The 25,688-nt window shown below is 40.2% G+C and overlaps 1 pseudogene, besides 6 other annotated features; it reads left to right on the forward strand.

Annotated features, from left to right (window-relative positions):
- Nucleotides 508–1,009: an enhancer, noted in NCBI's record as "H3K4me1 hESC enhancer chr9:68377249-68377750 (GRCh37/hg19 assembly coordinates)". NCBI's record gives its function as "activates a minimal SCP1, AML or CMV promoter by ChIP-STARR-seq in naive H9 embryonic stem cells {active_cell/tissue: H9 hESC(naive)}" and the evidence as "EXISTENCE:reporter gene assay evidence [ECO:0000049][PMID:30033119]".
- Nucleotides 705–1,372, forward strand: LOC107987021 (translation initiation factor IF-2-like; annotated as a pseudogene).
- Nucleotides 3,154–3,655: an enhancer, noted in NCBI's record as "H3K4me1 hESC enhancer chr9:68379895-68380396 (GRCh37/hg19 assembly coordinates)". NCBI's record gives its function as "activates a minimal SCP1, AML or CMV promoter by ChIP-STARR-seq in naive H9 embryonic stem cells {active_cell/tissue: H9 hESC(naive)}" and the evidence as "EXISTENCE:reporter gene assay evidence [ECO:0000049][PMID:30033119]".
- Nucleotides 3,154–4,155: a biological region, named in NCBI's record as "H3K4me1 hESC enhancers GRCh37_chr9:68379895-68380396 and GRCh37_chr9:68380397-68380896".
- Nucleotides 3,423–3,741: a silencer, noted in NCBI's record as "fragment chr9:68380164-68380482 (GRCh37/hg19 assembly coordinates)". NCBI's record gives its function as "represses an EF-1alpha promoter that drives an FKBP-Casp9 reporter gene in an ReSE screen in HepG2 liver carcinoma cells {active_cell/tissue: HepG2}" and the evidence as "EXISTENCE:reporter gene assay evidence [ECO:0000049][PMID:32094911]".
- Nucleotides 3,656–4,155: an enhancer, noted in NCBI's record as "H3K4me1 hESC enhancer chr9:68380397-68380896 (GRCh37/hg19 assembly coordinates)". NCBI's record gives its function as "activates a minimal SCP1, AML or CMV promoter by ChIP-STARR-seq in naive H9 embryonic stem cells {active_cell/tissue: H9 hESC(naive)}" and the evidence as "EXISTENCE:reporter gene assay evidence [ECO:0000049][PMID:30033119]".
- Nucleotides 24,662–25,163: an enhancer, noted in NCBI's record as "NANOG hESC enhancer chr9:68401403-68401904 (GRCh37/hg19 assembly coordinates)". NCBI's record gives its function as "activates a minimal SCP1, AML or CMV promoter by ChIP-STARR-seq in primed H9 embryonic stem cells {active_cell/tissue: H9 hESC(primed)}" and the evidence as "EXISTENCE:reporter gene assay evidence [ECO:0000049][PMID:30033119]".

The following is a 25,688-nucleotide window of genomic DNA, read 5'->3' on the forward strand; positions in this document are numbered from 1 at the left end:
ATGATGGCTGTCTTTGGACTGCACGGCAGCGAGGGGATTGCGGATCTTATATTAATATTTTTGTATTGAGGCAGCGCATTAGCATTACAGGTGCTTGTTACATGAGCAATGGGGGTGTCATACTTTGGGTGTCATGTCTGCATTAGGAATGCCGCATTTGTCTTCCGAGGCTGCAGTGTGGATCTCGCACTGCGGCCGCCTCGCCTTGGCTGAGGAGAACCTCGGTGGGCAGGATTCAGAGGGGCTTTTGGTTTCCCGTTTTCCACACTGAACCCTTCTAACTGGTCTCTGACCCTGATTATTCAGGGCTACAAACAGGAAGGATTTTATTCACCGTTGATGCGGCCCCGAGTTGTCCCAAAGCGAGGCAGTGCCCCCAAGGTCTGTGCTGACGAGAACGCTGCTCTGCCTTCGCGGTGTCCCCCGGGTGTGTGCTGAGCAGAACGCAGCTCCGCCCTCGCGGTACCCCCGGCCCGCCCGCCTGGGTCTGTGCTGAGGCAAACACTGCTCCGCCTTCGCTGTATCTCCGAAGTCTGTGCAGAGGAGAACTCAGCTCCGCCCTCGCGATGCTCTCCTGGTCTGTGCTGAGGAGAAGGCAGCTCTGCCCTAGCAAAGGCAGAGCGCCCTTCGCAAAGGCAGAGAGGCCCAGAGCGCCGGCGCAGGCGCGGAGGGGGCGCAGGCGCGGAGGGGGCCCAGGCGCGGAGAGGCGCAGAGCAGGGCAGGTGGCACCAACAGCGGGTCCCTCAGGCCTCGAGCGCACGCATTCCAGAGGCCACCCAGACCATGCTCCGCCGACTGGGCGCCCAAGCTGCAGTCGCCCTCTGTGTGCAGGCAGCAGCTGCCTGGCAACCCCCGAGCTCGCTCGCGCTGTCAGCATCGCAGAACCAGGGCCAGGTGTCCCAGTGGCATTCTGACCGGCGGCGGCGGCTGCACAGGAGCGAGAACTGAGAAGCCGCCGCTCAACCCCACACGGGGTGACTGCTGAGGGCCCATACCAACGGCCCCGATCTCCCTCAGGTGGAGGACTGGGCGGGAGGCACAGCCTGGGGGCCCTCAGGCTGGGCGCGCTGGCGATCCCGAGGCCGACCAGGCCATGCACCTCCAGCCCGCCTGGGCTCCCAAGCTGCAGCCGCCTTCTGTGTGCAGGCAGCAACCTCCAGGCAACTCCCCAGTCCGCCCTCACTTCCCACATCTCGGAACGAGGGCCAGATGTCCCTGTGGCTGCGGCCAAGCCAGGCAGTCTGCCCTGCAGCAGCTGCACGGGGGCGGGAACCGGCCCTCAGCCCTATCCCCCATGGCTGCAGAGGGCCCTTGGCTAGAGGTGTGGAGCTCTGGCATAGGAGGAGCCGGGCGGGGGCAGGGTCTGGCTTGACCAATTGGAATTACAATACACTTCACTCATCAACCACAGAACATATACTGGAGTATCATCTGCGTGCAGATGAGTATACTGCTCAAAGCGATTTACAGATTTAATGCTTTTCCTATCAAACTACTAATGTCATTTTGCACAAAATAGAAAACATCTAAAATTTATATGGAACCTAAAAGGAGTCTGAATAGCCAAGCCAAAGCAATACTAAGGCTAGAGACATAGGCTAGAGACATCATATTACATGACTTCAAACTATACTAGAAGACTATAGTAATCAAAACAACATGATACTGGTAGGAAAACAGACACATAGACCAATGGAACAGACTAGAGTACTAGAAACTAAGGCCACATGCCTGCAACCATCACATCTTTAACAAAGTTGACAAAAGTAAGCAATGGGAAAAAGACTTTATTTAATAAATAATGCGGGGATAACTGGCTAGTCATATGCAGAAGAATAAAACTAGACCCCCATATTCCACCAAATACAAAAATTAGCTTAAGATGGATTAAAGAGTTAAATGAAAAATCTCAAGCTATAAAACGCCTAGAAAAAACCTAGGAAATACTTTTCTTGATAACGGCCTTGGCAAATAATTTATGGCTAAGTCCTCAAAAGCAATTGCAACTAAAACAAAAAATGACAAGTGGGATTTAATTAAACTGAAAAACTTTTGCACAACAAGAGAAACTATCAAGGTAGTAAAGAGATAATCCACAGAATGAAAGAAAATATTCACAAACTACGCATCTAACAGAGGTCTATTATGCAGAACCTATAAGGAACTTAAACAAATCAACAAGCAAGCAGCAAGTAACTCCATTAAAAAGTGGGCAACAGGACATGAACGGACACTTTTCAAAAGAAGACATACACACAAGCACCCAACAAACATATGTAAAAGTGCTCATCGTCATTATTTATTAGAGAAATGCAAATCAAAACCGAAATGAAATACCATTTCACACCGGTCAGAATGGCTTTTTCTGAAAAGTCAAAAGAAAAACACATATCGGTGAAGATTTAGAGAATAGAGAACACTTATACACTTTCTGAAGGAATGTAAATTAGTTCAGCCACTGTGGAAAGCAGGTTGGGGATTTCTTAAAGAACTGAGAGTTGATCTACCATTCAATCCAGTAACCCCATTACTGGGTATATACCCGAAATAAAATAAATATTCTATCAAAAAGACACATGTAGCTATAGTTTTATCACAGCAGTATTCACAATCACAAAGACATAGGCTTAATCCAGACATCCATCAGTGGTGGTCTGGATAAAGACTCATGGAATACTATACAGCCAGAAAAAACTCAAAATTATGCCATTTGAGGCAACATGAATGCATTGTTTCCAGCAAACTAATGCAAAAGCAAAAAACAAAATACCGCATGTTCTCTTTCATAAGTGGGAGCTAAATGCTGGGTACACAGGGTCATAATACAGAGGGGTGGGAGGGGCCGGGACTGGTGGCTCACGCCCATAATCCCAACACTTTGAGAGGCCAAGGTGAGCGGATCACCCGAGGTCAGGAGTTTGAGACCAGCCTGGCCAACGTGGTGAAACCCCGCCTCTAATGAAAACACAAAAATTAACTGGGCATGGTGGCTGGCGCCTGTAATCCCAGCTACTCGGGGGTCTGAGGCGGAGAGTCGCTTGAACCCGGGGGGCGGAGGTTGTAGTGAGCCAAGATCGCGCCACATCACTCCAGCCTGGGCGACGGAGCAAAACTCTGTCTCAAAAACAAACAAACAAACAAAAAACAAAGAGGGAGGGGGGAGGGAATACAGATTGATTAAAACTACCGATTGGTTAGTGTCCTCTCTACTTTGCTAATGAATTCATTCATTTAATTCATAATTCATTCATTCAATTCATAATTCAGTTCCCCCTGAGAAAAAAATATTCACTTGTCATTAAAATCTCTCTGTATCTTACTGATTTCAGATAGAAGTTAAATTTCACCTTAATAATAGACACAAAAGAACTAGTTAAACTGACAAAAACTAATAAACATTTGCTCAAATTTACTGAGAGAGTCATGGATACTTCATATAATAGTGACATTCTACCAGTTTTAAGTAAAATAAATAAGGAAACAATCTTAACTCCATCGCCTACCGGAAGGGACGTGCCCCCGCTCCCAGTTGAGTGGGACCCTGCTCTCTGGGCGGGTTGCGCCGCGGTCTCTGGCACCTCTTGTTGGCAGCGTCGCAGTTGCAGGCACAGGGCAGGCATTGGGGGGCGGGCAGCGGGCCAGGCCCAGGCGACTCCTTTGCCAGGGGCTGGGCAGGTGTGGAGAGGGGCGGAGCTGTGCTGCCCTGGGCGAGGGAGCCTCCCGCTCTGGACGGTTCGCCGCCCCTGCCCCAGGAAGGCGCTGCAGGATCTGGGTGGGGAAGGGGAGGGACGAGGGAACACAGGCCAGGCCAGGTGGCCCCTTAGACCTGGGTGATGCAGGAGGGGCTGTGGGAGACCAGAGAGGACCCGAAGCAGAAACCGGGAACTGATACCTCTGGCTGAATATTTGTCCTCTTGCTGAAGTTTGAAAGTCAGTTATTTCATTAAAGTTTAATTTTATTATAAAAATAACAACTATTAAAAATTCCCTGTAGTCACTGGAATGATAAATTTTGGTGCAGTTTCAGCATAACACTCTAATTATTCAAATTGCGGCCATGTTTCAAAATATATGCCATATATTTTTATGGCATCCACCCCTGTGTCCCTGTGTCCCGCATTGGCCTCTGTGTCCCTGCTGGCTCAGGAAACGAGCTTCTTCCTCCTTCCACAGACTCGAATCAGGCCGTCATCCCTCCTGCGCCTGAGGCTGTCATGGGGACAGCCTGCCCTCGAATAGCCGGAGAACGCCCGGCCTGTGCCCTGTGCTCGGCCTGGTGTCCTGGCTCGTGCCCCTCAGGGCCCCGCACAAAGCAGTGTGACAGGTGTGGAAGGACCCAGCACCAGGCAGCGGTGAGCGGATGGATGCTCCAGGGATGTGGGGCTGCTGGCAGTCAAGAACCCATTGCCAAATTCCATGGCATAATTTTGGATATTTTTCCCTTATATTTTTGTGTAAGACTTTCAGACTTAAACATTTTGAGTTTTTAAAAAAATATAGTATAATCTACAATTCTGACTTCTATATTTTACATGTTGATAGCAAATCTTCATACCGTTTTTGTGTTAAAGGGGGCTATTATTCCCTCTCCATAGTTTGGCCTTTGCACCCTTGTTGAAGATCATTTTGACCATATATACAAGGTTTTGTGGAGAGAGGGGTCTCTATTATTTTCTATGTCTACACGTCTTGATTTAATACATTTCTTTTTAGATTTTCTCCTTTTTACTTTTTGAGACAGGTTCTCTGTCATCTAGGCTGGGGTGCACTGGTGCGACCATGGCTCACTGCAGCCTTGCTCTCCCAGGCTTAAAAAAATCCTCTCACTTCAGCCTCTGGAATAGCTGAGACTACAGGTTCATGTCACATTGCCAGGTTAATTTTAATTTTAATTTTTTTTTTTTTTTAGCGATGGATGTTCTCACTAGGATGTCCAGTGTGGTTTGAACTCCTGGGTTCAAGCAATCCTCCTACCTCAGCCTCACAAAGTGCTGAGGTTACACGTGTAAGCCATAGAACCTGGCCTCAAAATACCACATTTGAAAAGAGTTCAACAGCACTGCAATTAGTTTTTGATTTAAAAATTGTGAGGGCTCCACAATTGACATTATTTTACAAGTTTAATTGGCTATTTTAAATCTTGAGATTTCATATGTTTTAGAATTTTTTATTTCTGCAAGTAAATATTGTTATGATTTATAAAGCTATTGCATTTAATCTGTTGTTGATTTCATTAGTATAGACTTAAGAATATTGTTTTCTAATTTATGAATATGGGATATCTTTTCAATTGTCTAATCTATAAATATAGAATATCTTCTCCATTGTTTGTGACTTTTCTTCAGCAACATCTTGTAACTTCTAGTATACTAGTCTTACATCTCTTTGCTTGTTTATTCCAAAGTATATTCTTCTTAATGCTATTTTCAATGGAATTTTAAAAACTTGGATTGTACCGTGTAATGAAGAGAAATACACTTAATTTTGTATTCTGCAATTTTCCTAAATGCAACTATTAGTTCTAACAGGTATTGTTTTCAGTGTATAGGATTTTTTTGTATATAACATCATATCATAAGTAACAGGTAATTTTACTTCTTCCTTTAGAATGTGGATCTTTTCTTTTTTTCATTGCCTAGTTGTTTTGCCAGGACTTTCACTGCTATTTTTGAATAGATGTGGCAACCGTGAATATCTTGCCTTATTATTAATCTTAGAGGATAAACTTTCCACACTTCAGAATTCAGTATAATATTAGTGATGATTGTTTTTGTTTTTTTGTTTTTGTTGTTGTTTTTGTTTTTCTGAGATAGGATCTTGCTCTGTCAACCAGGCTGGAGTGCAGTGGCATGATCTGGGCTCACTGCAACCTCCACCTCCCGAGTTCAAGCTATTCTCATGCCTCAGCCTCCCTGGTAGCTGGGACTACAGGCACACACCACAACGTCAAGCTAATGTTAATATTTTTTGTAGAGACAGGGATTCGCCATGTTGGTCAGGCTGGTCTGGAACTCCTGACCTAAAATCATCCACCCACCTCAGCCACCCAAACTGCTTGGACTATAGGCATAAGCTGTTGAACCCAGTTGGTGATGAGTTATTTACATATCTTTTGCTATGTTAGTTTCCTTTTATTTCTAGTTTATTGTTTTTTTATCTTGAAAAGATGATTAATACTGTCAGTTGACTTTTCTGCATTATTTGAGATGATTGTGTGGTTTATATCTTTTACTCTGTTAATATGATATATTAAATTGATTGATTTAAACTCTCATTCCAATATGGCCAAATAGGAAGAGCTCTGGTCTGCAGCTCCTAGTGTGATCAATGCAAGATGGGTGATTTCTGCATTTCCAACTGAGCTACCTGATTCATCTCATTGGGACTGATTGGACAGTGAGTTCATCCCATGGAGGGTGAGCTGAAGCAGGGCAGGGCATCAACTCACCCAGGAAGTGCAAGGGGTTGGGGGATTTTCCTTTCCTAGCCAAGGGAAGGCATGACAGACTGTACCTGGAAAAACAGGACACTCTTGCCCAAATACTGCACTTTTCGCACAGTCTTAGCAACTGGCAGACCAGGAGATTCTCTCCTGTGCCTGATTCATTGGGTCCTACACCCATAGAGCCTTGCTTACTGCCAGTGCAGCGGTCTGAGATTAACCTTCATGCTGCAGCTGAGCAGATGGAGGTGAATCCACAATTTTTGAGGTTTGAGTAGGTAAACAAAGTGGCCAGGAAGCTTGAACAGGGTAGAGTCACTCACAGCTCAGCAAGGCCTACTGCCTTTATAAACTCCACCTCTGCGGGCAGGGCATAGCTGAATAAAAGGCAGCAGAAACTTCTGCAGACTTAAACCTCCCATCTGACAGCTCTGAAGAGAGCAGTGGTTCTCCTGGCATGGTGTTTGTGCTCTGAGAATGGACATACTGCCTCCTCAAATGGGTCCCTGAACCCCGTGTAGCCTAACTGGGAGACACCTCATAGTAAGGGCCAACAGACACCTCATACAGGTGGGAGACCCTCTTCAACGAAGCTTCCAGGGAAGGATCAAGCAGCAATATTTGCTGTTCTGCAGCCTTCTCTGTTGATACCCAGGCAAACAGGGTCTGGAGTGGACCTCCAGCAAACTCCAACAGACCTGCAGCTGAGGGACCTGACTGTTAGAAGGAAAACTAACAAACAGAAAGGAATAGCATCAACATAAACAAAAAGGACATCCACACCAAAACCCCATCTGTAAGTTACCAACATCAGATACCAAAGGTAGATAAAACCACAAAGATGGGAAGAAACCAGAGCAGAAAAGCTGAAAATCCTAAAAACCAGAGCACCTCTTTTCTTCCAAAGGATTGCAGCTCCTCACCAGCAATGGAACAAAGCTGGAGGGAGAGTGACTTTGACGAGTTGACAGAAGGAGGCTTCAGAAGGCTGGTAATAACAAACTTCTCCAAGCTAAAAGAGCATGTTTGAGCACATCGCAAGGAAGCTAAAAACCTTGAAAAAAGGTCAGACAATGGCTAACTAGAATAAACAGTGTAGAGAATACCTTAAATGACCTTATGGAGCTGATAACCATGGTACAAGAACTTTGTGACACATGCACAAGCTTCAATAGCTGACTCACTCCAGTGGAAGAAAGGATATCAGTGATCGAAGATCAAATTAATAAAATAAAGTGAGAAGACAAGTTTAGAGTAAAAAGAGTGAAAAGAAATGAACAAAGCCTCCAGGAAAAATGGGACTATGTGAAAAGACCAAATCTACGTTTGCTTGGTGTACCTAAATGTGACAGAGAGAATGGAACCAAGTTGGAAAACACTCCTTAGGATGTTATTCAGGAGAATTTTCCCAATGTAGCAAGGCAGGCCAGCATTCAAATTCAGGAAATACAGACAACACCACAAAGTTACTTCTGGATAAGAGCAACCCCAAGATACTAATTTTCAGATTCACCAGGGTTGAAATGAAGGAAAAAATGTTAAGGGCAGCCAGAGAGAAAGGTCGGGTTACCCACAAGGGGAAACCCATCAGACTAACAGCAGATCTCTCAACAGAAACCCTAGAAGCCAGAAGAGAGTGGGGGTCAATATTCAACATTCTTAAAGATAAGAATTTTCAGCCCAGAATTTCATATCCAGCTAAACTAAGCTTCATAAGTGAGGGAGAAATAAAATCCTTTACAGACAAGCAAATGCTGAGAGATTTTGAGACCACCTGGCCTGCCTTAAAAGATCTCTTGAAGGAAGCACTAAGCATGGAAAGGAACTACCGGTACCAGCCACTGCAAAAAATATGCCAAATTTTAAAGACCATCAATACTATGAAGAAGCTGCATCAATAAACAGGAAAAACAGTGAGCTAACATAACAATGACAGGATCAAGTTCACCATAACAGTATTGACCTTAAATGTAAATGGCCAACAAAGATCAAAAGACACAAAGAAGGCCATTACATAATGGTAAAAGGATCAATTCAGTAAGAAGCGCTAACTACCCTAAATATATATGCACTCAATACAGGAGCACCCAGATTCGTAAAGTAAGTCCTTAGATACCTACAAACAGACTTAGACTCCCACACAATAATAATGGGAGACTTTAACACTCCACTGTCAATATTAGACAGATCAACAAGACAGAAGGTTAACAAGGATATCCAGGACTTGAACTCAGCTCTGTGCCAAGTGGACCTAATAGAAATTTACAGAATTCTCCACCCCATATCACCAGAATAAACATTCTTCTCAGCACCACATCACACTTATTCTAAAATTGATCACATAATTGGAAGTAAGCACTCCTCATCAAAAGTAAAAGAACAGACATCACAACAAACTGTCTCTCAGATCACAGTGCAATCAAATTAGAACTTAGAATTAAGAAACTCACTCAAAATGGCACAAACACATGGAAACAGAACAATCTGCTCCTGAATGGCTACTGGGCAAATAACGAAATGAAGGCAAAAATAAAGATGTTCTCTGAAACCAGTGAGAACAAAGACAAAAAACACCAGAATCTCTGGGACACATCTAAAGCAGTGTGTAGAGGGAAATTTATAGCACTAAATGCCCACAAGAGAAAGGAGGAAAGATCTAAAATCGACAGCCCCACATCACAATTAAAAGAACTAGAGAAACAGGAGCAAACAAATTCAAAAACAAGCAAAAGGCAAGAAAGATCAGAGCAGAACTAAAGGAGATAGAGACACAAAAAAAACTTAAAAAATCAATGAATTTAGGAGCTGATTTTTTGAAAAGATCAACAAAATTGATAGACCACTAGCAAGACTAATAAAGAAGAAAAAAGACAAGAATCAAATAGACACAATAAAAAATGATAAATGGTATATCATCACTGATCCCACAGAAATACAAACTACCATCAGAGAATACTATAAACTCCTCTACACAAATAAACTAGAAAATCTAGAAGAAATGGATAAATTCCTGGACACATACACCCTCTCAAGATTAAACCAGGAAGAAGTTGAATCTCTGAATAGAACAATAACAGGCTCTGAACATTGAGGCAATAATTAATAGCATACCAACAAAAAAAAATCCAGGACCAGATGGATTCACAGCTGAATCCTACCAGAGGTACAAAAAGGAGCTGGTACCATTCCTTCTGAAACTATTCCAATCAATAGAAAAAGAGGAAATCCTCCCTAATTCATTTTATGGGACCAGTATCATCCTGATACCAAACCCTGGCAGAGACAAAACAAAAAAAGAGAATTTTAGACCAATATCCTTGATGAACATCGATGTGAAAATCCTCAATAAAATACTGGCAAATGGAATCCAGCAGCACATCAAAAAGCTTATCCACCACGATCAAGTAGTCTTCATCCCTGGAATGCAAGGCTGGTACAACATACACAAATTAATAAATGTAATCCATCATATAAACAGAATCAATGACAAAAACCACATGACTATCTCCATAGATATAGAAAAGGCCTTTGACAAAATTCAACAGTCTTTCCTGCTAAAAACTCTCAATAAACTACATATTGATGAAATGTATCTCAAAATAATAACAGCTATTTATGACAAACCCACAGCCAATATCATACTAAATCAGTAAAACTGGAACCATTCCCTTTCAAAACTGACACGAGACAAGAATGCCGTCTCTCACCTCTCCTATTCAAAATAGTGTTGGAAATCCTGGCCAGGGCAATCAGGCAAGAGAAAGAAACAAAGGTATTCAATTAGGAAGTCAAATTATCTCTGTTTGCAGATGACATGATTGTATATTTACAAAACCCCATCGTCTCAGCCCAAAATCTCCTTAAGCTGATAAGCAACTTTAGCAAAGTCTCAGGATAAGAAATCAATATGCAAAAATCACAAGAATTTCTATACACCAATAACAGACAAACAGAGAGCCAAATCATGAGTGAGCTCCCATTGAAAATTGTTACAAAGATAATAAAATACCTTGGAATACATCTTACAAGGGATGTGAAGGACCTCTTCAAGGAAAACTACAAATCACTGCTCAATGAAATAAAAGAGGACACAAACAAATGGAAGAAAATTCCATGCTCATGGATAGAAATAACCAATATTGTGAAAATGGTCATACTGCCCTAGGAAATTTACAGATTGAATGCCATCCCCATCAAGCTACAAATGACTTTCTTCACAGAATTAGAAAATACTACTTTAAAGTTCATATGGAACCAAAAAAGAGCCCATAACGCCAAGACAACCTAAGCAAAAAGAACAAAGTCGGAGGCATCACACTATCTGAATTCAATCTATACTACAAGGCTACAGTAACCAAACAGCATGGTACTGATATCAAAACAGATCTATAGACAAATGGAACAGAACAGAGGCCTCAGAAATAACACCACACATCTACAACCATCTGATCTTTGAAAAACCTGACAAAAACAAGCAATGGAGAAAGGATTCCCTATTTAATAAATGGTGCTGGGAAAACTGGCTAGCCATAGGTAGAAAGCTGAAACTGGATCCCTTCCTTACACCTTATACACAAATTAATTCAACAGGGATTAAAGACTTAAATGTTAGGCCTAAAACCATAAAAACCCTAGAAGAAATCCTAGGCTACATCATTCAGGTCATAGGCATGGACAAAGATTTCATGACTAAAATACCAAAAGCAATGGCAACAAAAGCCAGAATAGACAAATCAGATCTAATTAAATTAAAGCGCTTCTGCACAGTAAGGGAAACTACCAACAGCATGAATAGACAACCTACAGAATGGGAGAAAATTGTTGGCAATCTATCCATCTGACAAAGGGCTAATATCCAGAATCTACAAAAAACCAAAAAACTTAAACAAATTTACAAGAAAAAAACACCATCAAAAATTGGGCAAAGGATATGGACAGACACTTCTCAAAAGAAGACATCTATGCAGCCAACAGACACATGAGAAAAGCTCATCATCACTGGTCATCAGAGAAATGCAAATCAAAACCACAGTGAGATACAATCTCACGCCAGTTAGAATGGTGATTATTTGAAAGTCAGGAAACAACAGATGCTGGAGAGGATGTGGAAAAATAGGAAGGCTTTTACACTGTTGGTGGGATTGCAAATTAGTTCCACCATTGTGGAAGACAGTGTGGCCATTCCTCCAGGATCTAGAACTAGAAATACCATCTGACCCAGCAATTCCATTACTGGGCATATACCCAAAGGATTATAAATCATGCCACTATAAAGACACATGCACACGTATGTTTATTGCAGCACTATTCACAATAGCAAAGACTTGGAACCAACCCAAATGTCCATCAATGATAGAACTGATTAAGAAAATGCAGCACGTATACACCATGGAATAGTACACAGCCATAAAAACAGATGAGTTTTTGTCCTTTGCGGGGACTTGGATGAAGCCAGAAACCATCATTTTCAGCAAACTATCACAAGGACAGATAACCAAACACCACATGTTCTCACTCATAGGTGGGAATTTACCAATGAGAACACTTGGACACAAGGCAGGTAACATCACACAATGGGGCCTGTCAGGGGCTGGAGGGCTAGAGGAGAGATAGCAGTAGGAGAAATATCTAATGTAAATGATGAGTTGATGGGTGCAGCAAAACAACATGGCACATGTAAACCTATGTAAAAAACCTGCATGTTGTCCACATGTACCCTAGAAATTAAAGTATAATAAAAAACAAATAGATTGATTTACAAGTGCTGAACAATACTTTCATTGGAGAGATAACTCCTTCTTCGTCATCGTGTATAATCCTTGCAATATGTTATTGAATTTGGTGTTCTAATGTTCCGAGGAGAATTTTTACATCAATAGTCAACAGGAAAATTGATTTGTAGTTGTATTTTTTTTTCTCCTTAGTGTCTTTGTGGGGTTTGGTGTTGTGTTAATGCTGGGCTCATAAAATAAGTTGGAAATTGTTTTATCTTTTTCATTTTTCTGAAGTAGTTTAAGAAGGGTTGGTGTTAACCCTGCTTTAACATTTTGAAAAAAATATGTATTTAATGAAGTGATCCGGGCCTGGGCTTTTTGAGGGGAGGTTGTTGTTACTACTTATATGCCTATTCAGATTTTTTTATGGTTTATTTTTAGTATAATCTATATTTCTAGACATTTGTCTATTTCTCTTAGCTTATCATATTTTTGGCATATACTTGGAATTAAACTTTTATAGTCTCTTCTTTTCCTACTTTTGTGGCATCAGTAGTAATAGCTCCTCTTTTATTTATGAATTTAATTATTTGAGGTATCTTCTTTTTTCTTTTAATCTGTTTGTCGGTTTTCTTAATCTTTTCAATAAAACCAAACTTTAATTGATTTTTCCATGGCTTTTAATTGTTATTTATTTATAACTGCTGAAATTCTTATTCTTTACTGATGTGTGGTTACATTTCCTAGTTGATTTAGATAGATTTTTTTAAATGCACACATTTACTACTACAATTGAATACAAGCTTTAGATGCATTCAATTATTTTGTTATGCTTTGTCTCCAGTTATGTTGAAATTTTCACTGTGATTTCTTCCTTAACCCATAATGTTGTTTAGGAGCATGTTACTTGATTTTTATGTATTTGCAAATTTTTAAAATTTTCTTCTGGTATTCACTTCTAGTTCCATTCCATTTTAGTTGTAAATGATACTTCGTATGATTTTAATTTTCTTGAATTGATTTCTTTGTGGTCCGATTTGTGATATAGTCTCAAGAATGTTCCATGTGCGCACCAGAATCATGCGCATTCTGTTGTTGAGAAGACCGTTTCTAAAAGTCTGTTGGATTTGGTTGAATCACTCCTTGCTCAATCCTCTGTCTTCATTTGGTCTCCCAGGTTGTCCTCTCCATTATTAAAGTCTCCTATCATTTTGGTGGTGGTCTCTAATCCTCCCTTTATTTTTATTTATAATTTTGTTTTTTACACAGACGAAGTGTTGCTGTCTTGCCCAGGTTAGTCTCAACTCCTGGGCTCAAGCCATCCTCCTGCCTCTGCCCCCGCCAAGATGCAGGGATTACAAGCAGGCGTGAGCCACTGTACTCAGCCTATTTCTCCTTTTAATTCTGTCATTATTTGTGTTATGTGTTTGGAATAGTTGCTGATTCATGTGCATATTTTAATTATGATATCTTCTTGGAGATTTATTTTTATTATATAATGTCCTTGTTTGTCTTTATGACAGTTTTTTGCTTAAAGTCTAATCATCTAATGTAAATGTGACCCACTTTGTTCTATTTTGGTTGCTATTTAGGATGATTTGGTTACCATATAGAATATAATTTTCCATCCCTGCACTTTCATTCCATGTTTATCCTTAAATAAACATAATTTATTTGATTTTATATTTTTATTTTTATAAACAATTTATAAACAGAATTCATTTGATTTTATATTTTTATTTTTTCAGTGACCTTCTGTCTGTTATTGGAGAATTTAACATTGTTACATATAAGGTTATTATTTGCAGTTAAGGAGTTACTACTGCCATTTTGTTAATTGTATTGTGTTTCTTTTGTAGTTCTTTTGTTTATATATTTTATTTCTTGCTGTCTTCCTTTTTGTCTAATTAATTTTTGTACTAATATGTTTTTATTTCTTTTTCTTTTGTATACATTCTACATGTATTATCTTTGTGATTACTATACAGATGACATGAAACGTCTCAAAGTTATAACAAACTAGTTTAATCTGATGTTATCTCAGTAGCATATAAAAACTCCAGTCTTTTGCGTGACTGTCTTTCCCAACACACATGTGGTTCTTGATGTCACAAATTAGGCCTTTTTACATGATGTATTCTTTAACATACATATAAAATATTTTTGTATATTGGTGTCAAATTCTATAAGGGGATTGAAATTACTTACCAACATCACAATAATATAGGATGCTATATTTCTCTATATATTTGCTTTACAACAGAGCTTTATAGTATTCTATGGCTTTTTTGGTACTCTCATTTTTTAATCTCAAAGGACTTTCTAGCATTTCTTGAAGAACAAACCTAGCGGTCATAAACTCCTTCATAGTGGTCATAATAAAGGGTATTCAATTATGGAAAGAGGAAGTTAAATTGTCCCTATTTGCAGATGACATGATCGTATATCTAGAAAACCCCTTCGTCTCAGCCCAAAATCTCCTTAAACTGATAAGCAACTTCAGCAATGTCTCAGGATACAAAATCAATGTACAAAAATCACAAGCATTCTTGTACACCAACAACAGGCAAACAGAGAGCCAAATCATGAGTGAATTTCCATTCACAATTGCTTCAGAGACAATAAAATACCTAGGAATCCAACTTACAAGGGATGTGAAGGACCTCTTCAAGGAGAACTACAAATCACTGCTGAATGAAATAAAAGAGGATACAAACAAATGGAAGAACATTCCATGCTCATGGGTAGGAAGAATCAATATAATGAAAATGGCCATACTGCCCAAAGTAATTGATAGATTCAATGCCATCCCCATCAAGATACCAATGACTTTCTTCACAGAATTGGAAAAAACTACTTTAAAGTTCATATGGAACAAAAAAGGGCCCACATCGCCAAGTCAATCCTAAGCCAAAAGAACAAAGCTGGAGGCATCACACTACCTGACTTCAAACTATACTACAAGGCTACAGTAACCAAAACAGCATGTTACTGGTACCAAAACAGAGATATAGACCAATGGAACAGAACAGAGCCCTCAGAAATAATGCTGCATATCTACAACTATCTGATCTTTGACAAACCTGACAAAAACAAAAAATGGGGAAAGGATTCCCTACATAATAAATGATGCTGGGAAAACTGGCTAGCCATATGTAGAAAGCTGAAACTGGATCCCTTCCTTACACCTTATACACAAATTAATTCAAGATGGATTAAAGACTTAAATGTTAGACCTAAAACCATAAAAACCCTAGAAGAAAACCTAGGCAATACCATTCAGGACATAGGCATCAGCAAGGACTTCATGTCTAAAACACAAAAAGCAATGGCAACAAAAGCCAAAATTGACAAATGGGATCTAATTAAACTAAAGAGCTTCTGCACAGCAAAAGAAACTACCATCAGATTGAATAGGCAACCTACAGAATGGGGGAAAAATTTTCCAATCTACTCATCTGACAAAGGGCTAATATCCAGAATCTACAATGAACACAAACAAATTTACAAGAAAAACCCAAACAACCCCATCAAAAAGTGGGTGAAGGATATGAACAGACACTTCTCAAAAGAAGACATTTATGCAGCCAAAAGACATATGAAAAAATGTTCATCATCACTGGCCATCAGAGAAATGCAAATCAAAACCACAATGAGATACCATCTCATACCAGTTAGAATGATGATCACTAAAAAGTCAGGAAACAACAGGTGCTGGAGAGGATGTGGAGAAACAGGAACACTTTTACACTGTTGGTAGGACTGTAAACTAGTTCAACCATTGTGGAAGTCAGTGTGGCGATTCCTCAGGGATCTAGAACTAGAAATACCGTTTGACCCAGCCATCCCATTACTGGGTATATACCCAAAGGACTATAAATCATGCTGCTATAAAGACACATGCACACGTATGTTTATTGCAGCACTATTCACAATAGCAAAGACTGGGAAACAACACAAATGTCTGACAATGATAGACTGGATTAAGAAAATGTGACACATATACACCATGGAATACTATGCAGCCATAAAAAATGATGAGTTCATGTCCTTTGCAGGGACATGGAGGAAGCTGGAAACCATCACTGTCAGCAAACTAACACAAAGACAAAAAAACAAACACCCGCATGTTCTCACTTATAGGTGGGAATTGAACAATGAGAAGACGTGGACACAGGAAGGGGAACATCACACACCAGGGACGGTTGAGGGGTGGGGGGATGGGGGAGGGATAGCATTAGGAGATATACCTGATGCTAAATGACGAGTTAATGGGTGCAGCACACCAACATCTCACGTGTATACATATGTAACAAACCTGCACATTGTGCACATGTACTCTATAACTTAAGGTATAATAAAAAAAGAAACAAGCAAAACAACTAATAAAAACCCTATACTGCCATTCTTTTCAACTTTTTGTTGTTTCTCTTCATCCCCTATTTTACAGTCTATGTATTGGAAATAAATTTGTTGTAGTTATTATTTTTATTGGTTTATTGTTTACTCTATTTGAGATTTTTGCACCCCATAATTACCATATTGTAATATTCAGTGTTTTTCCATGTGCTATTGCTAGTGAGTTCTGTACCTTCAGATGATTTCTTATTGCTCACTAACTTGTTTTCTTTTAGGTTAAGATATCCCTTTAGCATTTCTTGTAGGACAGGTCTGGTGTTAATGAAATCCCTCAGTTTTTGTTTGTTGGAAAAAGTTCTTATTTTTCCGTCAAGTTTAAAGGACGTTTTTGCCAGATACATTATTCTAAAGTAAAAGTCTTTTTTTCCTTCAGTTTTTTAATATGTCATGCCAATCTCACAGCCTGTAAATTTTCCCCTGAAAAGTCTGCTGTCAGATGTATTGGAGTTCCGCTGAATGTTATTTGTTTCTCTTCTCTCGATGCTTTTAGAATCATTTCTTTATCCTTAACCTTTGGGAGTTCAGTTTAGTGCCTTGAGGTGGTCTTCTTTGGGTTAAGTCTGCTTTATGTTCTGTAACTTTCTGTTACTCGAATGTTGATATCAAATGTTGAGGAATTGTTTAATATTATTTAATATTATTTATTTAAATAAATGTTCAAGTCATCTCTTTTTCTACCTCCTCTTTAAGGCCAATGACTCTTAGATTTGCTATTTTGAGGCTATTTTTAAAATTCTATAGGCATGCTTTATTTTTTATTCCTTTTTGTCTCCTCTGACTTTGTATTTTTAAATAGTCTGGCTTCAAGTTCACTAAATCTATCTTCTCCTTGGTCAATTCTTTTAAGTAATTCCGATCCATTCTTCAGTATGACAATAGCATTTTAACCTCAGAATTTCTACTTTATTCTTTTTATTTCAATCTCATTGTTAAATTTATCTGATAGAATTTTGAATTCCTTCTCTGTGTTATATTGTACATTTCTTTGAATTACTTCAACCAGTTATTTTGGATTTCCTGTATGAAAGGTCACATATCTTTCTTTTTCCAGGATTTGTCCCTGGTACTTTATTTAGCTTGTTTGGTGAGGTCATGTTTTCCTGGATGGCCTTGATACTTGTAGATATTCATCTGTATCTGGGCATTGAAGAATTCAGTCTTTATTGTAGTCTTCACAGTCTGGGCTTGTTAGTGTCCATTATCTTTGGGAACACTTTTCAGGTATTCAAAGAAACTTGGGTCCCAAACCCAATAGCACAGTAGTTTATGCAAACACGTAGAGGTACTGCCTTGGTGGCCTTGGATTAATATCAAGAAAAATTGTTCTGATTTATCAAGTAGAGAAGCTTGTTCTCTTCCCTTGCTTTCTCTCAAATCAGCAGTCTCTCTTTCTGTGCTGAGACATGTGGAGCTGGGGTTGGGGCAACAGAAGAACTCCTGTGGCAACCACCACTGAGACTGTGCTGGTTCACACCTGAAGTAGGCACAGAACTTGGTCTCACCCAAAGCCCACTGCAACCACTACTTGGCTACCATATAAGTTTATTCAAAGCCCCAGGACTCTGTGATTAATAGTTGGCAATGCCAGCCAAGTTTGTGTCTCTGCCTATAGGGTTGCAAGTTCCCCTAGCCATGAGTGGGTCCACAGATGCTACCTGGGAGCCAGAGATTAAAGCTTAGAATCTTCAGAATTTAGCTGCTCTTCTATTTTATTGTAGCTAACCTGGCACTTAGGGAATAAGACAAAGTATTTTCTACTCTTCTTTACCCTCTCTGCAGGCAGAAGAGCTTCTTCTATGACTGCCAACACTACTGGCCCATGGGGGGTTTCCACCAAATCATCATCACTTTCTCACTTAAAGCCCAAGGACTCTTTAGTTAGCTTGTGATAAATTCTGCAATGCCTGGGACTCGACCTTTGGCCCAGGGCAAGTGCAGAAATGCTGACCAAGAAGACCCTAGGCCTGGACTCAGGGACTCTAAGAATCTGCTTGGTGATCTACCCCACTGTGGTTGAGCTGGTATACCAGGTGCAATGTAGAGTTCCCTTTACTTTCCCCCCTGCCTTTCTCAAACAGAAGTCTTTCACCATAGCTACCACAGCTAGAAATGTACTGGGTCACACCTGAACTTAGCACTTCTCAGAGCCCAATGCCCATGGTGTATTACCTGGTTGTCACTGTTTTTTTATTCTGGGTACAGGGGTTCTTTAGTCAGCAGGTGATGAATTCTGCCAGGTCTTTACTGACATGGCAGCACTGAGTTTGATGTAAAGTCCTCCAGTCACTGTGCTCTCCCTCTCCCAAATTCACAGGTTTCTGTGTGTTGTGTGGCTGCTGCTAGGTGGGGGGTGGGGGAGTGGTGTTGTGAGCACTCCCTTAGCTGCTGTGGCTGCTGTCTCTGTAGACCCCATACTCCCCACCCTCCACATTCCACTGGCTCTGAGCCCAGCTCGGAATATGACTTGCCTAATAATTGAAGTCCTTGTGGCCTAGACTGCCCCTTAAGTTCCTTAGAGTCCAATAGCACGTCAACTCATGATGGCAAGACTTGTAAAAACTCAAGCTCCCAACACTAGGATGGGAGGTTTTCCTCTTTCTAGGGCCAATACACATGCTCCCTCCATTGGCAGATGTCAGCTGTGTACAGTCTGGTTCTGCTTTTCACTGTGACAGGGTAGTGCTGAGTTTATTGCAAAGCCTCACAAACTATGCACTCCCTCTCCCAAACATACTATCTCTGCACGATGTAGCCACTACTGGTGGTTGAAAAAGAGGTGGCATCCATGCTTCTAGACCGCCTTTTATTTTTTTGTCTTCTCCAATGTCTGTTTCGGTGATATGAAGTTAATACCAGGTACTGTGATTGCTCACCCAATTTTTGGTCCCTTTGACAGTGCTTCTTGAATGTAGTTAGTTGTGAAAATTTGGTGTTTTTGTGTGGTGATGAGAATGTAGGCTTCTATTCTGCCCTCTTACTCTGTCTCTGCCTTAAATTTTTTAGATTCAGGGAGTATATTTGCAGGTTTATTACATGGATATATTGTGTGATGCTGAGCAATGTGGGATATTATTGATCCCATCACCAAGGTAGTGAGCATATATTGTGGGATATAATTGATCCCATCACCTAGGCAGTAAGCATAGCACCTATGGTTTTTCACCCCCTGCCCTCCTCCTTCCCTCATTCATCTGGTAGTTCTCAGTGTCTATTGTTGTCATCTTTATATTCATGAGTACCCCATGTTTAGATCCTACTTATAGGCAAGAATATATGGTATTTGGTTTTCTGTTCCTGTATTAATTTCCTTATGATAATGGCCTCCAGACGTATGCATGTTACTGCACAGGACATAATTGTATTCTTTTTAACGTGTGCATAGTGTTTTATGGTGTATATGTGGCACATATTTCTATCCAATTTATTGATTTACACATAAGTTAATTCCATGCCTTCCCTATTGTGAATAGCAATATGACGCATATACAAGTGCATGTGGGGTTTCTTTTTGTAGAATTCTTAATTTTCTTTTGGATATATACTCAGTAATGGAATTGCTGGTTGAATGGCACTTCTGTTTTAAATTCTTTGAAAAATCTCCAAACTGCTTTTCACAGTGGCTGAACTAATTTACATTCTCACCAACAGTGTATAAGCATTTCATTTTCTCTGAAGTCTAACCAGAATTTGTCATTTTTTTACTTTTTAATAGTAGCCATTCTGACAAATATGAGATGGTATCTCACATTGACTTGCATTTCTCTGATGATTAGTGATGTTGGACATTAGGAAAACAACCCCATTAAAACATTGACAAGGGACATAAGCAGACACTTCTCAAAAGAAGACGAGCCAGGCACAGTGGCTCACGCCTGTAATCCCAGCACTTTGGGAGGCCGGGGTGGGGGGATCACAGGGTCAGGAGATCGAGACCATCCTGGCTAACACGGTGAAACCCTGTCTCTACAAAAAATACAAAAAATTAGCCGGGCGTGGTGGTGGGCGCCTGTAGTCCCAGCTACTCGGGAGGCTGAGGCAGGAGAATGGCGTGAACCCAGGAGGCAGAGCTTGCAGTGAGCCAAGATTGCACCACTGCACTCCAGCCTGGGCGACAGAGCGAGACTCCGTCTCAAAAAAAAAAAAAAAAAAAAAAAAGATACAGAAGTGGGATTCTTATTCTATCACATTAAGCTGCCTTTCCTTTGCAAATACAAAATCAAACCATTCGAAAAATCACTTAGGGATTGACAGTATCTTTCCCCTTCCCTATCTCCTTTCCTCTTTTGTGATTTTTTTTTTTTCTGATCACTATGAATCCACTCCACAGAGTAACCTCCTTTCTTAATCTGTGTGAATTGTGGTGATGAGCTAGTCAGCTCTCTTAAAACCACTAACAAAAAAGTTTTAAATTTCCTAGTTAGTAATACATTTTTAGCATGCCACAAGATACTCTTAGAACAAGGACTTCTGGTCCAGGCATTATGGATTATGATGATTAGTTCTCTGGATTTCTATAAGCTTTGAAATTATGAGGTAAAAATCTAAAATAAGTCGGACTTCATGCTATTTATACATTTATTGGGTTTGTTAATTATTCCATAGGAAAACAGATGAAAGACTTTTGTAGAATTCAATTCTGCTTCACCATACTTAGGGCTACAAGAAGGCAATTATATTGATGTAATTGACAGACTGAATTAACCTCAGTCATCACATGTGATTTTTCTAGAGTTTTTTTTTAATGGTGCTGACATTCTCTTCAATATGTCCATGCTTAGCTTGGGTTTCTGGGGGAGAGATGAGTAGCTAGTACTACCCATCTAAAACATAATGTTCATTAGTTGGAATAATGGTGTGATATGATAGTCTTCTAGATGATGCCCTCGATTTCTTTCCTCCCTGCATGCACATGCTGCTGTTTACATTGACAGGCAGAGTCGAATCTCCCATTTCTTGAATCTGTGCTGGTCACAATGACTTGCTTTTCCAAAAGGATGGAGCAGAAGTCTTGTTCTAGGACCTCCAAGGCTAGGTCCTAAGAAGCTTTATAGTATTTGCCTGTGTGTCTTGGGACAAACTACCACGTTATGAGCACTCCAGGTAACATGGAGAGGTCAGATAGGCATCACACTCAGCAGCCAATATGCACTGCCAACCATGTAAGTGACCCGTCTAGACTCTTTAGCCTAATTGAGCTTTCAGGTGACTTCAGCAGCAGCCAAGCAACCGCAACTGCAAGAAAGACTCCAAAAGAGAACTTTTGTAGTGCCCATCAACCCACAAAACCATGAGAAATAACGTTATTAAAATTACTAAACAAATAATAACAATAAACAATATTAAACAATAAATAATTCCGTAAGTTTTGGAATGGCTTACTATTCAGCAAGAGATGGCTAGAAGAAATACTAAATATTGCACAATACTGAATAAGTATAAGTTTATTTGTATAATATACTTCTATATTTCAAAGCCATTGACATTTCTGGAAAGAGTGCAAAAGTGAGCACTGATTAAATGGTTCCCAAGAGAAGTTGTCTGTTGTGTCTCAATAGCATCATTTACCAATGGGAGCTGTATTTTGTTTTTGGAAAATATACATTTTAATGTTCATTTTGAAAAATATACTAACCATTGTTTAGAAAGGCATATGCTATTTTGAAAAAAATTTGAGCGAACCAGAGAAGTGTAAACTTTAAGGCTCTAATCATATTTATATGCTATTTAACCCATAAGTCCAAAGTCTGATGACAAATATGTTTATGTAATACTGATATTTGGATAAATAAGTTAAACTAACAGCTTTCTTTTTAAATGATAGGCTTATAATTGGTATGATGTTGAGATGGCTGCAGTGGATGGGCTCATCACCAGAATAAAATTTTCTCTTTAATACTTTTTTAGAACATTAAGTGAGAACCAGAGAGTCTAAAACTGGGTTACACAGCAGCAATAAAATCAGAGTGACACTTACTTTGCAGCAGCAGGACTGGAATTCTTGCTGTTGGGGTTGGTGGCAGCAAACTCAATTATGGGTGTCTCCTGCTTCATGCTTAGATGGTGTGTTGGAACATTTCCTGTTTAGAACTCTCTAACACTTCCTGACTAGAGCTGTTTAAAATAGAAACAAACTCCTCTGATTTTGAATTTAGCCTATTTATTGTTACAATTTGTTCATGTTTCTACTTTTTAGACTGTGGCTTTCTTGTAGACAGAAATTATATCTTATACCTCTTTTTCTTCAGCAGCAGTGTGCCTGGCACCTAGTTGAATTGTCAGGTTCGTTGAATGAGTAAAGCAAAATTATACTAGACTTAAACTATTAACTTTATCAATTCTACTCAGAAAATATATAGCTAAGTATGACGTATGAATCAATTTACTCACTTATTCAGCAAACTTTTTTAAGTGACTACAATATGTTATGAGCTAGGAATATGACAGTAAACAAATCTCACCTTGTCTCAAACTTCAGTGGATCCAGGAGTCTCTAGAAGTTTAATTCTTGCTCAATCAGCAATTCCTTTTCACTGAAGACTTGACAGGAAGGTTTGAGAAGGCAAGAGTGTGTGAACTCAGCAGATGTTTGTGATGCACCTACCTACTGTGTGCCAGAAGCTGTAGTGTCACAGGCTCTGCCTGTGTCTCCTAGGAAAGGTGAAAACTAAGGACAATATTTTACACAACAAATAATGGCAAGTATGCCATGTGATGGAGAGGGAAAGTGCTGGATCCCAAGAGTATAACAGGCACTGAGCCTAGCGTGGGGTCCAGGCGTCTCTGGCATGGTGCCCTCCTAGGTCCTGGTTGTCCCTCCTTGTTGCTTCTGCTGTCTTCTTCAGTTACTTCTGCTTCTCTGCATTTCCTCATTTTACGGTATGTGGGATGCAGTCATCTCTGAACAGGAGTAGGCAACTGTGCACCTGTTACGCCATGCTTGATGCTCTGCATTGATGTACACTGGGCCCAGGTTTCCCTGGTGGACTGCTTGGGCCGTTCTTGTCATCTGGCTCTGAAGTCTTTGCTCACAGAGGTGCGCTTGCCAGATGGGTAAGCCAGAGATCTGGGGTCCTCTGATGAGGCCACTCTCACCCTGCTTATATTCCCTGACATACATAACAGATGAAGCTCAGGTGGGCGATGCACCTCAGGCCACAGTGTGGACTGTTGTAACCAAGCGAGTTATAGAGGAACGCCACACTTTGAGACAAATTAAGGAGTCCTTTATTAGCCAGCAACCAAGAGGCATGTAATGCTCAAAATTCTCTTGGCCCCGAGGAAGGGGCTGGTTTTGTTTTTATGCCGTGGTCTAAATAGGGGAGGGGGGAGTTTAGCTGAAACAAGTTTTACAGAAGCAGAGCTGGCAAATAGTTAAAAAATTAATTGGTTACAATAACAGTTACAAAACAAATAAACAGTTCCAGGTGCAGGGGCTTAAACCATCACAAAGAGAGAAATGCAGGGGTTTTGCGTGACATTCACCGAGTGCGTACCCAGGAGCAGCTGGTGCAGCTTGCCTCAATATCTTATCAGTAAGTGCATTCCTGGACCTGCTTTGAGTTAGTTTACACTAGTTATGCAATTAAGGGTGGGAGGTAAAGGGGGATGCACGTGAAGAAACTAAAATGGAGTCTGTCCGGCTCTCTCTCTGCTAGGAGAGAGTCACTCAGGTTAAAACAAGGTAGGGTATCACAGGACCATGTACAATTCTTCAAACTCCAGCTTCAACTCTCTTTCTTATTGCTCTCTTAGGACAGTATATTTAGATCAGAGTAAATGAAAGTAATGTTATTAGGAGATAAGATTAAAATTGATCCCATTTGTAAAAAGGGAAGTAGATTATTTGTGAACTGTAATACTTTTTTTAGTGAAGAATCACCTTAAAACTTGGAACCTGGATACAAGATAATTCCTTCATTCTGTAAAAGTTTAGTAGCAAACTATATGCCAGGACTGTGCTAGGTACTAGGGATACATGGTTGAATATATAGTATAAGATGCCTTGGAGTGTCAGATAGTTTCATATAAATGGCTCATGCAGTATATAGACAGTGTGGTAAAAAGAGACTACTGAGATGCACAGAGAACAGACAATGAAGCGTCTTTGAATGGTAGATAAATGTGTTTGGGCTTTTCACTCAGGGCTGTTGAAGTTTTTGAAGGTCAGTGGTCTCAGAGTTTTGGTGTTTTCAAGCCCTGCTAAGCACTTTCTTTCTAGCTGATGATTGGCCACCATTACTGATCATCTATTGGCTCTGTCTGATTCAGCAATCCCACCACTGAGTATTTATGCAAAGGAAAAGAAATCAATGTATCAGAAAGATAACTGTACTTGTGTATTTGTTGCAACACTATTCACAGTAGCACAGACATAAAATCAAACTAAATGCCCATCAACAAATGATTGGAGAAAGAAAATGTAGAAAATATACACAATGAAATACTATTCAGGCATAAAAAACAATAGAATCATAACTTTTGCAGACACATGGATGGAACTGGAGGCCATTGTTGTAAGTGAAGCAAGCCAGACACAGAGTAAACATCGTATTTTATCACTCATAAGCGGGTGCTAAAAGATGTGTAGATATTGACATAGAGAGTGGAATGATAATGGAGACTCAGCAGGGTGAGGGGATGGAAGGGGTGAACAGTGAGAAATTACTTACTGGGTACAATGTGCATTATTCTGGTGATGGATACTTAAAAGCCCTGACTTCACCACTATGCCATCCATACTTACAGCAAAATTACACTTGGAACCCATAAATTTATACACAAAAAGTCTTAGACCTCTCTCTCTTCTCTCATAAGACTCAGAGCTCAGTGATCCCCTTGGATCTCCTCAGCCTGCTGAGTTTCTATTTTCCTACCTAAGGTGATTTTGGGCAGAGACAAGGGAGTGTTTCTGGAAGATGTTCTCAGGCACACGCTTCTAAAGAAACATTGGAGACTCTTCTAGTGGCCTTTATCTAGTCACTGCTTTAAGCAAGGAATAAAATATCTGTGGCTAAAATTTGTAAAACTGTGTTTCCCACCCACCCTTCAGACCTGACAGAAGAGATTTTAGGATTTTAAGGGAACAGCTTTTTCCTGACCTAAAAGCGCACAGT

This window comes from Homo sapiens, chromosome 9, assembly GCF_000001405.40.
Source record: "Homo sapiens chromosome 9, GRCh38.p14 Primary Assembly".
Lineage (NCBI taxonomy): Eukaryota > Metazoa > Chordata > Mammalia > Primates > Hominidae > Homo > Homo sapiens.